At 47.4% G+C, this 17,409-nt stretch overlaps 1 protein-coding gene across 4 annotated transcripts in view, besides 1 other annotated feature; it reads left to right on the forward strand.

The window, feature by feature from the left end:
* The window catches only part of PDIA5 (protein disulfide isomerase family A member 5), a 95,080-nt gene continuing 77,920 nt past the window's right edge, over positions 250–17,409 (forward strand). For all 4 annotated transcript variants that reach the window (NR_028444.2, XR_007095629.1, XR_007095630.1 and 1 more), the window contains exon 1: positions 250–431. Coding sequence is in view for 1 of the 4 variants with exons in the window: in NM_006810.4 (NP_006801.1) it covers positions 390–431 (42 nt within the window). In the remaining 3 variants the exon portion in view is untranslated. The remainder of the gene's footprint in view (positions 432–17,409) is intronic.
* Positions 305–544: a silencer, noted in NCBI's record as "silent region_14646". NCBI's record gives its function as "represses an Ori minimal core promoter by ATAC-STARR-seq in GM12878 lymphoblastoid cells {active_cell/tissue: GM12878}" and the evidence as "EXISTENCE:reporter gene assay evidence [ECO:0000049][PMID:35858748]".

The following is a 17,409-nucleotide window of genomic DNA, read 5'->3' on the forward strand; positions in this document are numbered from 1 at the left end:
AAAATAAAACCTAATTTCTGTGAGCTGCGTGAGATACTGTTTCTGAAGCTCCAGGCACAGAGTAAGCCCCCGCTCATTAATTGCCTTCCCTTACTCCCTGACCTTGCCTTTTCGCACTTCACTCGCTGCCACGTGGCCTCGGAGCCCAGTCCGCACCCGCAGCCCCCAGCTGAGCCAGGCTGCAGACTACAACTCCCAGCGAGCACTTCTTCCCGGCCGCCTCTCCCCAGCTGCTGCGCATGCTTTGGCAGACGTGGCACCGGGAACTCGGAGGCGGGGAGCGGCTGGGAAGTGGCCGTGGTGGTTGGCCGCGGTGGAGCTAGCAGGCGGGCGGGCGGGAGCGGGCGCCGGAGTGGAGAAAGGAGCCAGCGGTGGGCAGCGCTGCTGGGATGGCGCGGGCCGGGCCGGCGTGGCTGCTGCTGGCAATCTGGGTGAGACTGTGGGGCAGGGATCCGGGCCGGGCCAGCACGTGTGTCCCGCGTGCCCTTCTGCGCTCTCTGCTCCAGCCCTCTGCGGAACGTGCGGGGAGCTGCCCCGGGGCACCGGGATGAGGGCGTGCATGCCAGGCAGGCGGGCACTGGGTGCTACGCGGGAGACAGCGGGCGTCCCGGTGCCCTCGCCGCCAAGCGCTCCCGGACGCAGGGGCAGGAGGCAGCTGTGGGGCGCCGGGAGATCCCTGGCAGGGTGCTTACGCCACGGCCACAACTTTGCGGGGATGCAGGTCGGGGCACAGCCGGTCGGGCAGGACGCCGGCGGGCTGCGGGGTGAGCTCCGCTCCAGACTCCGAGCCCTGCACCTGTGTGAGTGCGGGGTGGGATGGGGGTGCTTACTACCTGCACTGCCGGAAACCTTGGTTTAGGGCCACCTTGTTCTTGGCTTCGGCCCCAGGCGTCTGGGAAACTGCGGGCCACCACCTGGGCCTCCGCCCACAGGCCAGGCTCGGTGGGCTGGGTGGGGTCGACGTAGCCCGCCCCGGCGGAGGAGCTGCTCCTACACCCAACTGAGGCGGGCTCGAGCCTCAGCCACTTTCTAGCTGTGTGACGCGGCGGTTCATTTAATGTATCTGAGCTAGTTTCCTCATGCATGATATAGAAAGGCAAAGCTACCCCCATAGGGTGGTTCTGAGAGTCGGATGAGGTCTCAGTGGAGGAAGCTGTGTAAACTGCAAAATCTTACAAAAGTGGAAAAGGAGTGGACTCCAAGAGTAGTTTGCTACACTTGGTGGGGGGGACTCCAGGCATCCCTGAGAGAGGTCGGAATGGGTGTGCCTGCCGGCCCAGGTCTGGGGTTTGGCCTTCGTTTCGCTGTGGGTGTGTGATGAGATATTGTGGCCTCCTTCCCCATCTTTTCCATAACTTATGCGCTCCCTTATTTTAGGACCATCCTGGTCCTTTTCCCCTGAAGTTCCAGGGAACTTCCTGTTCCTGGCACCCTCCCCCCAACCCAGATTTTCCCGTTCTTTTCCATTTGGGTGTGGCAAGGACACTGGGCAAATGGGAGGAGAAAAGTGTGGGTTGAGTTGCTTGAAACACTTCCATCTCCCAATACCCTGGCCTTTTGGATCACCAGTGAGGAGTGGCCTGGTACTCTCTGGTTGGAAGTGGGTGGGGAAAGAAGCCCCCTGTTCTCTTCGGTCTGTGTTCTCCCTCTTGGGGAGAACCAGGCTGGAGTGGGGCAGTGTCACTTAATTGCGTCTGGGTTTGTTGAATGCTGGTTTGCCATCAGTTCCCTGGAGCCAGTTGGTCTGGGCGGGTCTCTGGGCCAGGAGGAGGGAGCTATCTCCTGAAACGCCCCCCATCGGTCTTTGCACTTGGGCTGAGTAGGAGGTCCTGCTTTCCTCCCTTTCCCCTCCCTTTTGTGAAAACAAACGGCTTGAGAATCTGAAATTTCATTCGGCAGACATTTATTTGTCAATCACATTGTTTGGATTGATATTTTGCCCTCCACTGGGTTAGATTTTGGGCGGAGAGCAAAACACACATTGTACCTGCCGTCTGGTGTTGCCCTGGATTGGGCAAAGGAGTCAGTCCTGTGAGCAAATAATGACAGAACTGCAAGTGCTGTGACCTTAAGTACTAGTATCCTTCACTGAACCGGAGCCATACGTTGATTTAAAGGGAGGTCAGCCATGGCTTTCCTGAGGTGGTAGGGTTGAACAGAGTCTGAAAGATGTGTGGTAGTTAGCTAGGCAGTGGAGGGCTGCAGGTCCCCTTCACCAGGAGGTGCGGAAGAGCAGGTAGGTTTGCTGAAAGCACTAGAACCTGGGAGTCCTGAGCAAGCAATTTCTATCTTCTCCTTTCCCTAAGCCCTAGAGTTGGCTTAGCGGGTAGGAGGTGGAGGGAGCATGCCAACAGGAGCAGTGGTGAGTGATTGCTGGACAGCGCGTTGGGTCTTTGTAAATTTAAATGCTGTATCTATCTGATAAGTGCTCCCCAGGTTCCTGGAAGCCGGTTGGGTTTCTTTGTTCACTCAATATTTACTGAGGGCTGATATGTGCACAGGACTGGGCTGTGACCTGAAGGGTATAAAGGCATCTGCAGGGATTCGTGTACAGGGATATACACCCACCACATTTTTTACAATAGCAAAATGTGGAAATGGGTTAAATGCTCAATAATAGTGGCATGGTTAAATAATATCTGGCCTTGTCCATATCATGGAAAGTGATATTTATCTTTTTCAGTTTGGCCTGCTATAAGAAATATCCCATAGACTGGTGGTGTAGAACAATTGAAATGTATTTTTCACAGTTCTGCAGACCAAAAGTCCGAAATCAGGGTGCCAGCATGGTTGAATTCTAGTGAGGACCCTCCTCCAGAAGACTCTTGACTTCTCACTGTATTCTCATATGATAGAAAGAAGACTAGACAGTTCTCTTGGGTCCCTTTTTCAAGGGCACTAATCCTATTCATGAGCGATCCACCCTCATGACCTAATTACGTACCAAGGGCCCCACCTCCTAACACCACCACTTTGGGGGTTAGGATTTTAACATATGAATTTTCAGGGGAATGACAGAAATACTCAGTCCTGGCCGGGCACAGTTGCTCACACCTGTAATCCCAGCAGTTTGGGAGGCTGAGGCGGGTGGATCACCTGAGGTCAGGAGTTCGAGACCAGCCTGGCCAACATGGTGAAACCCCGTCTCTACTAAAAATACAAAAATTAGCCAAGCATGGTAGCGGGCGCCTGTAGTCCCAGCTACTCAGAAGGCTGAGGCAGGAGAATCGCTTGAACCCAGGAGGCAGAGGGTGCAGTGGGCTGAGATCGCGCCACTGCACTCCAGCCTGGGGGATGGAGCAAGACTCCATCTCAAAAAAAAAAAAAAAGAAGAAGAAGAAGAAGAAATATTCAGTCCATTGCAATGTTTATAAAGAATATTTTTATTTACCAGAATATTATGTTTATTATGAAAACATTTTATGATGTTTATGAAGAATATCTAAGGATGTGGAAAAATGCCCAAGTGTGATAAGTAAGGGAAAAGCAGGATGTAAAACCAAATCTGAGGGTGGCTGAAGTTACATGTATGAAGAATTAGTGCATCAAAATGTTAACAGTCATTGTTCTGGAAGGTGGAGTTGTGATGACTTCTGCTTCTTTGCTTATGCTTTTCTGTGGATTCCAAGTTTTTCACATGAATATGTATTAGTTTATAATCAGAAAAGTTAATAAAGATTTTTTAAAATGTTGCTTTGGGAACCCTTAGCCTTCCAAAAGAATACTGGGGAGGAAGGTGTCACTGTCAAACACGTGGGACAGGTTAGTTCCAAGAGCTTCCAGGCTGGGTGTCTGTGCCCTCAGAGGCTATGGGTGGCGGTGCCCTCCCTGCCAAGTGCTCCTGGACACAGGGGCAGGAGGTAGCCCTAGGGCACAGGGCGATCCCTGCCGAGCCATGCTGCCCTGCTCCCATCCCTGCGCTGACTGCCTGCTTTCCTGCTGTCCAGCTCAGCTCATCCCTGCAGCTGACTCTTCTCTAGGGCCGTCCATGCTGATTGTCCTGTTGGCTCCATCCAGCCTGTAGGATGGAGAAACGTCGAGCTGGAGTGAACTCTAGGTCTCCTAGCTCAGTGGTTCTCAAGCATTGGGCCAAGGACTGAAGCTGGGCTGGGATAGAGTTTTCTGGTCTGCAGTCAAACTGGAAAAAAAAAATGGTGTATTTTTTTGTTTGTTTGTTTTTCATGAATGCAAATGTTTTCAGTTTAAAAAGTTGTCAATTTTTCTGACATGACGATATTTTGAGGGGGAGGGGGTTACAGCATCCCTTTGAAAAATGAGGCTGGTTGTAGTATATTGTGATTTCTTTTTAAAAGCCCTTTCTTGATAAAATTTATTTTTAATAATATAAAATCCATTTTATATTTAAAAATATATATATTCTGCTGATCTGTGAGATTCAGAACTGATCTAACTCAGCCTTCTCCTTTTATAGGAGAATAGCGAGGCTTAGGGAGGGAAGGGACTCACTCAAGGCCACCCAGTTAGTGAAGGCAGAGCTGGGAGAAGAGCCAGATCTGCTGAATGTAAATCGGGTTCTTCCCACTCATCCATCTCCCGCCTGCTTCTCTGCCTCTGCCCCTGATGGTCGCTTGAAGCTCAGACCCTGGAGGACAGTGGGTGGAGGTGCAGGAGGCAGATGTTTGTTCCTGGCATCTCCTGTAGAGCTTTTAAGGTACACTTATTTAGGTTCTGTACTTCTCTGGGACGATTATATATTTAATAGGCTTTTGTGGGTTGGCCTGAGGACTGAATTGCCATTTAAAATGCTGTTTGGAACCTGTAGTGCACATTTCCCACAGAAATAAACACATTACAGCGGAAGTCTTAAAACAGACCCGGCATATAAGGTGGAAGTGTGGCTGAGTGCCATAAGAGTGGCAGCCCCTGTGTGCTGGGGATCCAGGACGAGGCCAAGCAGTGGGACACCGAGTGATCAGAGAAGGCCCCAGGAAAGAGCAAGGTGTGGACTGGCCTCACAAGGAGGGCAGACTTGGAGCTCTGTGACAGCAGGGAGCCCCCTGTCCTGGCTGTAGTGTCCCCAGCACCTAGCCCAGGGCCTGGCATGTCGTCAGCCCCGGTCCGTGTTTGGCTGATGGAACTAATGTCACAGGCAGAGAAGGAAACCTTCCAAGCCAGAGACATGGGAAATGAGGAATGATAGGCCAGGCTGGATGGAGGGAGGGTTTGAGTCTGGGGATGAGGGGAGTAAGACTGAAAAAGTGGATCGTAAAGAACTTTAAATGCCTGGCAAAGCTGTGGGGGACTCGATTCTGTAGGTAATGGAGAGACTTGATGAAAGCTGCCCTTTTAATAACAAGATCAATCAGGCCGCATGTAGGGTTGGGTGGGAGGGGGAGAGACTAATTTTCCCAGAACAACACTTTCATCCTTACTTTCCTCTCTGTTATCTACAAGATAAATTCAAGTGTTATGTAGTGGAAAGAACATGGGCTTTTAGCCAGCTAGACACTCAGGAGCTGCGTGACCTTGGGCCCTGCCTCAGTTTTCTTGTTTGTTAGTGGTGGTAATGATATCCATCTTGCAGTGTTGAAAGGATTAGAAAAAATACAGGAAGCACCCAACACAGCGCTTGGCACGTGAAAGTGCCCAGTCACTGGGAGTCTCAGCAGTCATTGCCAGTTGTTGAGTAAGAGATGATGGGGAAGGCAGTTAAGAGGAGGAGGTGGGCAAGGAAGGGCCAGAGAGAGGCTGCATGATTTGAATGCCAGGTACGGGTACCCCTGTGCAGCTAGGATTCTCCCCACGGGAGTTACTTGGAGCTGAGCTCTTGACTGCCTCCTTGCCTCCTCTCTGCCAGGCTGCTGCAGAGATCCCAGGTAGGGGGGGTGGTGCAGAAGGGCTCAGGATGTAAGTGTGCTTGGTTTCTCTCCCCTTTCTTCTGAAAGTAGATCCCCTCTTGAGAATGAAGACACCAAACACACTGTATCCCAGGAGGGTTTTGCCCCAGCTTTGTGGTTTTATTCTGTTGGGCTCTTGTGTCTTGCTTGGTGGTTGTGGTAGCCTTTGAGGCTGAGTGACAATGGGCCAGAAATGAATGCATGGGGTATAAGGAGAGGCGGAGGTTCTTCCACATAACCTGGACTTGGGATGGTTTATTTGCCCCCTACCTCTCCTTCTGTGTGTGTGTGTGTGTGTGTGTGTGTGTGTATGTGGTGTTGTTGTTTTTAACACCTGGCATCTTAGGTCCCAACGGGAGAGGGAAGGAGCAGGAGTGCTCAGCCCTGGTGGGCTGGCCCATTCCTTCTGCCTGGCCATCTTTCAGCACTGCCTGGAGCCTCTGGCTCCCCGTGTGATCTGTTGGCAGAATTGTCAAATCGGATGCATTTGTAGAGGGCTTGAGAGTTTGCAAAGCATTTCCACGTATTTCACGACGGTGTGGTTTTGAGCCCCATGTAACTTGGTGAGGTGAGTAGGCTAGCCCAGTACCATCATCCCTGGAGAGGGATGGGTGGCTGGACAGGGAGGTGGGAAGCAACATGTCCTTAGACGAGGTTGAGGTGTCTGTGGCCTGGAAGATGAAGGCATAAAGAGATAGGTGGGGACCACAGTCAGAGTTCTCAGTGCCTGGCTTGAATGTGTAAGCAGCTGCGTTGGCAGCCATTTTCCAGGAGTGTCCCTGAAACTTGCTTTTCAGCTGCTCCCTGGTGGCTTTGGCATTGGACAGGGGTGGCCAGCCAGGTACATGCTGACTGTATCCTTCCCCCAAGGAGCTCCAGTTCACTGTCCCCTATTGCCACCCTACATCAGCAGGGCCTCTTTCCACATACCAGTTTGCAACCACTTCTAAATAATTAGCTTTGTGATCTTACATTGGGGGGTTGAAGACACTCATGGAGTGTGGGGTTAAAAGAGCCTTTATTCCTCAAAGTCATACTGAGGCCCCAGTCTGATGCACATTCCATTCCTAGATGGTGTGATGGTGGGCCTGTGTCTGGCTTCAGAGTTTCCAGCTCACTAGAGTTGCGGGGGCGCAAGGGTGGAGTGTCCATTCCCTGCAAAGAATCCTACAGTTCCTCCAACCCCTTGGCGCAGGCAGATTTCTGGAAGTCGTGAGCAGGTCCTTTAATCCTTGTTGGAAGATGTTGATGAAAATCAAGGTTGAGGGTTGTAAACTGGGGCTTAAACATAAAGGTGATCCAGTATCTGAGCCCAGATGTGGGCCTGGTAGGAAAGCTCTGTTGTTTGGGCCAAGTAGGGAAGGGTCTTGAGGAACGAGTGGGTTTGTTCTCATCACAGGGTCTAGTCTTACTGGGTCCTGGGCAGAGTATTAGTACATGCCCCTATTTCAAAGGAAGGTGGACCAACATCAGCATCCTACATGTGCCACAGATGTTCATTCATTCAACAGATACTTCTTTTTTTTCCCAAATGGATATTTCCTTGAGAATCTTTTATGAGCCAGGCCTCATGCTAAGGCATTGGGGATAACCATAAATAAGACAGACACCATCTCTTTCTCTCATGGCCTAGTGGGACAGCCACTGATTAATTATTTAATTCAGGTAGTAAGTGCTGGAAAGAGAAAGTGTTAATATAATGTGGTAAGAGAATGTATAACAGGGATCCCTAACCTAATTCAAGGAGTCAGGAAAGCCTTCTCTGAGAACCTCTGGGTCTTTCTTAGAATAATGTTTTTAAATGTATAAAGTAAAATGCATAGAATTACAAAGAAAGCAGTTTTATTGAAATACAGTTATCAAAATATAACAACAAGGTTGTGATAAAATAATATTTATGTTTATTAATGCATCATATAAAAAGATCAAAGGTACAAGCTTGATAACTTCTATAATTTTAAGTTGTGATGAGCATAAATAGTGTTTCAGGATATCTTGTAATGTGATAAGAAAATATGATTTCTGTTGGTGGCAAAGTCACAGACACTGCTACCCTAATTACTACTGTAATTTGTTATCTACATTCATAAATGTAGAAAGCATTTATACATTTATAAATACATTCATAATACAGGAAAGGCTAAATTTCAGTTAGAGGTTAGTGAAGATAAAGATGTCATTTTTCTCCATCCAAATTCGTAGACTACAGTGGAAAAAAATTATATAACACTTGGAAATAAAAGATGATTTTGTGACATTTTAGTATCATACTGGAGTATTGTATAAGAAACCACCTAAGGACCAGCTGTGTTCTAGGGGATGTAACTCTGTTTATTATTTTTTATGGGCCATACTTTGTAAAGTTAAGTAGGATGCAAATTATTTCTGTTTGGTAAAGAAGAGAAGCACAAAGATTATTGCCCTGAAGGACATTAACCTGTTGGTATCTAATGTAGCAATCTTATATCAGGATTATATCCTCTTTTTTAGGGTCTCTTATTAGCGAGTTAAGTAAAACTTTGAAATATGCTCAATACCTATTTGTATGAGAATTAGGCTTTTAACATTTTAGAACTGTACTTGACTCCAGTTCAACTGCTGAGTGAGCAGGACGTAAAGATGTGTTGCTTAGAAGAGAGGTCTGATCTGGAGATGTTAATTTAGGGGTGCTGTTCAGGAGAGTGGGTGAAGTTGGCTGGGGGACCATATAGGGTAGGAAGAGAGGGTAGACTGAGTGAGCTGTGGAACTTCAACATTGAAAGAATGGGGAGAGGAGGGTTTACAAAGAAGAAAGGAATGATTGCTAGAGAGGTAGGAGGGAAACCAAGTGTCGCATCCAGTTCAAGAGGCCAAACAAGATGAGAACTGGAAGTGCCTGTAGGGTTTATCTATAGGAGGTCATTGTTGAGCCTTCACCAAGAGCCTTTTTTGTGGTGGTTGTGGGGAGGGCAGATTTCAGAGGGATGAGCAATGGAAGGAGGGAGGAGAATGGGAGGAGCAGGGGAGATGGAAAATTCTGGCTGTGAGTGGAGAGGGGAGTGATATGGGGTCCAGAGAGAGAGTTTTTAAAAGATGGGTCAGTGATGGAGTTTCTTCACCTTAAGGAGATATGTGTAAAATGGATTCCTGGGCTCCCAGCCCCTGGAGATGTTTTTCTTCAAGAATAAAGCCCAGGAATCTGTATTCCCAGAATACCGAGCTCTGCGGTAAAGCTACAAAACTAGACACATTTCCAAGTTAATCTTATATGGCTGGTGGTATTTTGCCAGCCGAGGTGGGTGCTCTCAATTGAGTGTGTAGCACAAGTTCTGCTCACATTGGAGCTGTGTCACCATTGTCTGCTTGGTGTCACTTGGCCTGAGCATGTGCTTTTCTCTGAAGGGATTTGGGGGTTTGTGGACATGCTGGTAGCAGAGGGAAGATGGATCAGGTTGTCATTGTAGCTCTTTTCAGCAGGTCACGCTCAATAGCTGGATTGGAAGGGACAGCAGACTTGCCAGCCTCTCGGGTATTATTCTGGGTGGAGCAACGGGGAGTGGATGATGCTCCAGGGATGTCTGTGGGAACTATTCACATTGACAGCCCAAGAGAAAAGCATCAGATCTGTCCTGGCGGGGACCTGGCTCTACTGTTTTAGGCTTAATCCGAGGCAAATCCCTTCTCTGAGCCTCAGTTTTCACATCTCTAAAGTGGGGATAGTACCACCTCTGCCTATAAACACTCATTGTTTATGACAATTTTTCAACTCCTGCAAGAACAGTTATACATTTTACAGTGTAACCCAGTACACACTGGGCTCACTGAATGCATAGTGTTGCTACCTGTGCTACTCACTGATGTTTTCTAGTCAATGTAATTTTTTAAAAATGCTACTGTAACTCACTGATTTTATGACTAGACTCCTGGGTTGAGACCTGAAGGGTGGAAACAGTGGCTTAGACTCTCAGCTTCAGAGGATGAAATGAGATCATGTGTGTAAAAGCATGGATGTACACCGTGGGTCATGAACACTGAGTTGTTATTTTCTTATCAGTTAACGGAGCTTGGAGGCAGAGTTGATTTCCGGAGTGGGAATTCACCTGCTCTTCCTCCCTCCCTGCTGCCTAATTCAATGTTCCCTCTACCAGTTCTTCCTCGTTAACAGGCCTGGCACACCAAGCTGGCGGTGATCCAGACCCCTCTTGGCTCAAGAAGAGGTTTTCCAAAACATTAAAAGCTTTAGGGACTTAAGTCCTGGCTAAATGCACTGCAGTTGCAATTTCAGGATAAGAAAACCTGTTTTCATAAGCTCTCAGATAAGTTGCCCTGCCCCTGAATTGTCCATTGTTGACAGCAACATTTGTGCCATGGGGAATAAAAAGGGGAGACACTGTGCTGCGTAGCCCCAAATGTAAGGTGTGGCTTTTTAAAGGAAGCAAAATATAAGAAATGCAGCTGGACTTGTATTTACAGCAGCAGGCAGTAAGATGTGTGTGGTTCTGGGAATCTGTCTTCCTTATGCCCCAACTCTGGTGCTGGAGTCTGTCAGACTTGGGTCTGAATCACAGCTCTCTTACTTGCTGTGTGACCTTCAGCAAATTTCTTAACTCCCCTTAGTCTCAGTTTCTTTATCTATAAAATGGGAATAATAAAAGTGCTTACTTTATACACTTGTCAAGGTAATTCAGTTAGATAACATGTGAACTGCTTAGCTCACTGCTGGTCATACAATAAGCACTCTACTTTTGGCTGTTATTGTTATCATGGGCTAATCCCTAAGCCCTGGATTTGGAATTAAAGGATCCTCTCTTGGGTTCTGTTCCTTGCCAGGTGCTTTTGCATTTCTCTTTGTTAATAAGCACAGTTAGCCCCCTTGGCTGCCACTAGCCGAGGGTCTCACATCCCAGGGCCAGCCTCTTCTCCCACCTCACACACATACACACACACACACACACACACACACACACACACAACAATATCACCACCATTCAGGGACTCATGTTGCTTGGTTTTATTTCAGAGGCTGCTGGGTAGACATTTGAACATTGGGAAACATCGGTAGTGAGATCCCCAAGCTTGATTTAAGGTTAGGCCTTCACTCCTTATGAAGAGTGGTGTTTAGCTATGGTGGCTCATGGCAGATGTTTAGAATTTACCCTTTTAAGGGGCATACAGTATGCATATTTTAAAATTAATGTTCTTTTTTTTTTTTTTTGAGACAGAGTCTCACTCTGTTGCCCAGGCTGGAGTGCAGTGGTGCGATCTCAGCTCACTACGACCTCTGCCTCCCAGGTTCAAGTGATTCTTCTGTCTCAGCCTCCCGAGTAGCTGGGACTACAGGCACGTGCCACCATGCCCAGCTAATTTTTGTATTTTTAGTAGATACGGGGTTTCACCATATTGGCCAGGCTGGTCTCAAACTCCTGACTGCGTGATCCGCTCGCCTCAGCCTCCCAAAGTGCTGGGATTACAGGCATGAGCCACCGTGCCCGGCCTAAAATTAATGTTCTTTCTTAGATCTCTCATCAAAACCATTCTACAAGTATTTGCTAGGTATGTGTTGCGTGCCAAGTACTTTGCAGATTCCATATAATAGTTATGAAAAAAACCAAACCACGCAATGTCACATGAACGGAGGCGAGACAGTTCAGCTAGCAGTACAGAAGGACACATAAGCACTGCACGTACGTGGGAAAGGGCACAGAGCAAGCGCTGGGCCGGGAGGAATCAGAAGGCCCATGCAAGAGCTGGGGGCGGTATCTGGTTGTGTTCTGGAAGCCTCTTTCTTTCCTTTTTTTTAGGCAGGTTTTTTTCTTTGTAACTTTTATTTAGAAATAATATCAGATTTATAGAGGAGTTGCAAAAAGAATCCAAAGGATTGTTATATGCCCTTTATCTCAATTCCACAAATATTAATATTTTATCACATTTGTTTTTATCATACTCTTCCTCTACATATATGAAGTTTATATATGATGTTCCTTTGCCCCTTAAATACTTCAGTATTTCCTAAAACACAAAGACATTCTCTTATGTAACCACAGTACAACGATCAAAACTAGGAAGGTAGTATTTGATTCAGGACCCAAACCAGAATCACACACTGCATTTAATTGTCCTTCTTTAGTCTCCTTTAATCTGGAATAGTTCCTCAGTCTCTGTCTTTTGTGACCTTGACATTTTTAAAGAATTTTCCTCAATTTGGTTTTTGATGATGTTTTCATTTAGTGCATTATATCAGGGGGCACCTGACGTCAATTTGACCCATTACTGGTGGTGTTACTGTTGGTCCCTTAGTTAAGGGGGTTTCTGCCATGTTTTCCCACTGTAAAGATACATTTTCTGGTGGGGAGATACTTTGAGGCAGTTAATTATTTTCATAATGGTAGCCAAGTGGTGGTAATTTTTTTCTTTAAACATTTAGATTGGACATGCTTATTATGGCAAGTTGAAAAATAGAGAAAAGGGAAGAATAAATATTACCGAGGGCAAATCCTCAGTGTTTTTCTGAGCATACTTTTGTTTACTTATAGTTGTGGTTATACCACGTATATTTTGAATTCTTTTTTTTTTTTTTTTTTTTTTTGAGATGGAGTCTCACTCTGTCGCTGAGGCTGGAGTGCAATGGTGCGATCTCGGCTCACTGCAAGCTCCGCCTCCTGGGTTCACGCCATTCTCCTGCCTCAGCTTCCTGAGTAGCTGGGACTACAGGCGCCCGCCACCACGCCCGGCTAATTTTTTGTATTTTTAGTAGAGACGGGGTTTCACTGTGTTGGCCAGGATGGTCTCGATCTCCTGACCTCGTGATCCGCCCACCTCGGCCTCCCAAAGTGAATTCTATTTTTAAAGACATTAAAGCAAATATTTTTGCATTGCGAAGTCTTTAAAAACACCATTTAAATAAAATACCATCTAAATGGCTTATTCTTCTATTGAGTGGTTTACTCTGTGTAACCATTCTGTTGTTGTTGGACATTTAGGTTGTTTATAGGTTTTAACTCTTATGGTTAGAATGGTTGTGAGTCATACGTGTGTCAGACCTCTGCTAATTTCCTCAGGACACATTCCCAGAAGTGGAATTACCAAGTCAAAGAGCATAAATACTTTAGAGATACATGATAAATTGTGCCAGCTACCTTTCCAAAAGAGTTGTACTAGTTGAGGTTTCTGCCAGCAGTATATGACAGTTGGGCTCCATATTTTAAGAGATTCACTAATGGTGTTTCTCAACCTTTTTTTTTTAAACTGTGACCCACCAATGAAGATTTGTGTTGAGATTAATTTCCTATATTTTGACTTATGAGAGCCTAGGTATTTATTTCTAAAAATAAATTATGGTATAAAATAGCACATTACTCTTTTCAAGCTGCAACAGTCTGAAACAGAGCATTGGGAAGAACTCTGGGAATCACTGAGGTGGCAGTGTCTAGACAGTGGGGATTTGAGGTCACACGTGAGGAATTAGGATATTTCACCTAGAGAATCCTAAAAGAGACGTGTTTGCTGTCTTTGGAGTGTGATAGGCTGACAGATGGGTGTGTGTGTGGGGGGGATTTAACATTTCTAATGAGGAGCCCTCCAAGATGATATGGGTATGGTGTAGGACATGGGACTTCTACATATTAGCATATTGAGTTCCCACAGCCTTCTGGGTCCAGCTGAGTTGAGTGGTCTCAGGAGATTTTGAGTCCTTGGCTCTGGAGGGCTACCTGGAGGCTGGAGACGGTATGTGAGGAATTTTGAGGGGATTTCTATATTTTTGGGAAACTCATCAGCCCAACTCAACTCTGAATTGAAAGAGATGTCCTAGCTTTTCTGTCTCCAGCAGTGGTCCTCTTACCAGAAAAGGGCTGAGGTAAGGAAATTGGAGAGTTCCCGGGCTAATTCTTCTTTCATTTGTGAATAGCTGGCACCAGGTGACCAAAGTACCTGATAAGAACAGGCACACTGAAAATTTGGGCTACTGGGAAGAACACTGGGTAAATCAATCCCTTGACAGTCTCTCTGTCTCCTTCCTTATAAATAACATATCTAAAGTTAATGCATGATTTGGTGCTTGAGGCACTTTGAAATATCCCAGTTGGAACAGATGTTTGTATTTCTTTCTAGTTAAAGCTTTTGTTCAGTGGGCACTCAAGATCTATTTGTGTGTGCCAGAACACCCAGAATGAGAGCTCCTTAAAAAGATCATTTATTTCACCCATGCAGAAGCCTGCACAGGGATATTCCAGGGCCAGAGTATCCCTCTGTGGTGTCAGGGACCCAGGTAACGTCTATCTTATTAGCTCCTCTTTAGCAGGCCCTTCCTCCCCATTGTCTCAAGGTGGCTACTTGAGTTCCAGCCATCTTGTCCAAATTCCAGCTGGCAGGAATGAGGCAGGGACTAAGAAGACTCTTATCAGATGTCTGTTAGGGACAGTTTCTAAAAGTTGCCACATCACACTTAAGCTTACATTCCAAGGGCTGGAACATGGCCCCCTTGCTGCAAGGGAGACTGAGAGATAAGGCTTTTATTGCGGGTGGCCACATGCCCAGGGAAACTCAATGGTTTCTTCACAAGGTGTGATTACCTCACAGTACTTCTCTGGTGGTGGTCGTGAGAATGGGTTTACCAAATGATATGATTGTAAAGAACTTTGGAAATCACTTTCAGTTCCTCAGTTTTCCAGAGTAGGAAACAGACTTGGAGAAGGAGAGATGACAACTAGTAATAATCAAAGTCAGCACAAAACTTGAGCTTCTGACTCCAAGTACGGTGTTCTTTCCGCCAAACCACCAGCTCTAAATTCTCAGCCCGCTCAAGTTCTCTGACCTTGGATTCAGGGCCACATCTGTTTTCTCAGGTCTTCCTCTTTTCCCTGAGTCCCTTTCGTACCAGCTTCTTATGAGTCTAGACTTAGATTCTGACATTTAAAAACTATTTTGAGCAAAATGTGGGTTAAACTAAATTAAACCTGTTTCTTCACAGTTCTTAACATAAGGGTATCTTTTTTTCAGGTGGCAGAGCAAAAGAGGTTGAGTCCCACCTTCACCCTTTTTCCTCAATGTTAAACTTCTGTTCCCAAGTCTTCCTCCGTTAGCAAGCTGCTTTTACATAATTGAATATCTCTGGCTTCATGGTCTGCATTGAATAGTAAATCTATAATGACAGACGGCTTTGCTAGTTACAGAGAATGCGAGGGTGCTGGCACGCGCCCCAGAGATGAGGAGCTTTTTAAAGCTGAGGTGTAATGTGGCAAGGACTGTTCTCCCTGATTATCTCCCAGCGTGCTGGGACTCTTATCTCTTTAGTCTGATGGAGATGCTGGGTGGCGATCAGCCTCATTAAGTGAGCTGAGTGAAGAGAGGAGTTTGTGTGTGCTATGTTAGCAGATTGGGAGGACCACACACTTCCTGCACACAGCCTCTGGCTGGAAACAGACCTGGGCTAATTGCCACATTTAGGATCTTCATGCTCTTGGCCCCAGGAACCTTGGGAGACTCCAGGATCTGCTGGACTTGCAGAAAGCAGAGGGTTAGTCTAAACCCCTGCTGGGACCCTCCTTGCCCTGGGATTCTGGGAGATAGGGGCATTTCCTGGTTGCTTCGGTAGGCCCTGCCTTGGAAGGAGATGTTCCTTTTCTGCTTGTGTTGTGCCATCTGTTGCAGCAGTCCAGGGAGCTTGTGGGGTTGAGAGAAGCAGGCCTCCTGTGGCCTGGAGTCGGGAGGCCCAAGTTCTAGTCCTGGCTCTGTTACTTACCTACTGTGTGACCTTGGTAATTAATGTAACCTGTCTGAGCCTCAGTTTCTTCATCTGTAGGATGAGGCGAGTACCTACCCACTGGGGTATTGTGAGGGGTAAACGAGTTAGTGGGTATGAAACCTGGGAAGTGTGCTCTAAATGTGCCGTGTGACCTCTTGGTCTGGGTCGCTGTGCAGCTGGTGATGATTTGAGGTTTTCTGGTGGCTGAATGTGTGTACGTGTTCGCTCCTTCCTGCCTGGACCTGCTGCCCTGCCTGATTGCAGGCAGGGCCCCTGGAGAGGAAGAGGTGGTCCCCGTGTTACTGCTGTCCTTGCTCCCCTTATAAGTTGTCTCGCTAATAAAGAGAAGTGCAATTATTCTGTGCTTCTGCATGCCAAACATTATGTTAGATTCTTTGTCATCTCTCCCCTCATGTAGTCCTGAGCCACTCTGCAAGGTGGGCATTGGTATTCTCCTCTCCACCTTGTAGGTGGGGAGTTGACACTCAGAGGTCTAGTAACAGGCCTGAGGTCATCCTGCTATAAATGGTGGCACCTGGATTTCCCCCAGGTCTGTCTGACTCCTGAGCCAGTGCTCTTTCTGTGGTGTCTGGAAGACTGCAGAGGGAGAAGAGAGTGGGTTTCTAAGTGGGATGGTGGTTTGTCTGGCCGGCCCTGAATGAGCAGACACCTGTTACAAGAGCACGGCAGGGGGTCTGGAAGATGAGGAAGGACTCAGTCTCCACCCCATTGCCTCCAGCCATGGCAGAGGTGGGCAGTGAGGACCTCCGTGCCTGGCACTCTGGTGCTGTTGGGCTCTGAAGAGAGCCTGTACTCAGGGGAGGGGTTGGGTGGTGGAAGGGAACTGGTGCTCGGGGTGGGGGAGGGGGGGTGCAGTGAAGCTCTGTGAGGGGGTTTGGAGGTTAGAGGCATTGGTGCTCTGACAGCGATGTGCTGGTTGGCTGATAATAGGCAGGACCTGGCATTGGGGGCCTCTATTTCCCAGCAGCAGAAAAGGGGAAAGCCATTTTTCCCGGCAGTTTTCTGCCCTGCACCAGGGAGATGCTTTATGGGTCTCAGCCCAGCCAGCGGGGGCAGCTCAGCCCTGATGTAAATACTGTTAAAGCTGAGGGTTGTGAGCAGAAAGAAAGCAATTATTGGAGAAGGTCAGAAGGAGTTTGCATGGTGAACAAAGGGGATCTTTTTTCTCTCCTCTACCTCTAGAGCGATTGACTTCGAATGTAAAGAGCCTGCCAAGCCCAGGAACAATGCCGTGGCTGGCATGGAACCCTGGCTGCCTTTGGAAGCACTTCTCAAATCCTGCCCTCTCCCCCAAGGGCTTGACAAAGGAACAGATAGTTTTTGCATCATTAACGTTGTTATTGTTGCTGTAGTTATTGTTGTTATCAAGGTTTGTGGGTTGTGACTTATGAAGTCTGCAGTAAGGCTCTTGGCAAGGTGCTCCGAGGCTTGCTGGGACTGCATCTTAAGGAAAGGAAGGAGCGTGCACATTGGAAAGGTTAAAATAGACTGAAGTGGAGGAGAAAGGAGAATGTTAAGTGGCAGGAGGAAAGTCCCCTTGGGCTTATGGGGAGGGGAGGAAAGGGCTCCCACTTGTCTGCATCTGTGGTTGTTTGCTAGGGTGAGGGTCTGTCTGAGGCCAGACACAGAGGGGCCTTTCATCCTTCCCCTTCTCAGAAGCCCAGTTAGTGTCTTAGCTCTTTGGACCCCATCTCCCTGGATTCTCCCTGATCGACCTATCCTGATTATTTTTCCTCTCTCATTCTCAGATCCTGCCACTCTAGGCAAATCCTGCTTCTCCTGTGCCCACTAACGCCCGCACGCCCCCAT

This window comes from Homo sapiens, chromosome 3, assembly GCF_000001405.40.
Source record: "Homo sapiens chromosome 3, GRCh38.p14 Primary Assembly".
NCBI classification, from domain to species: Eukaryota; Metazoa; Chordata; class Mammalia; order Primates; family Hominidae; genus Homo; species Homo sapiens.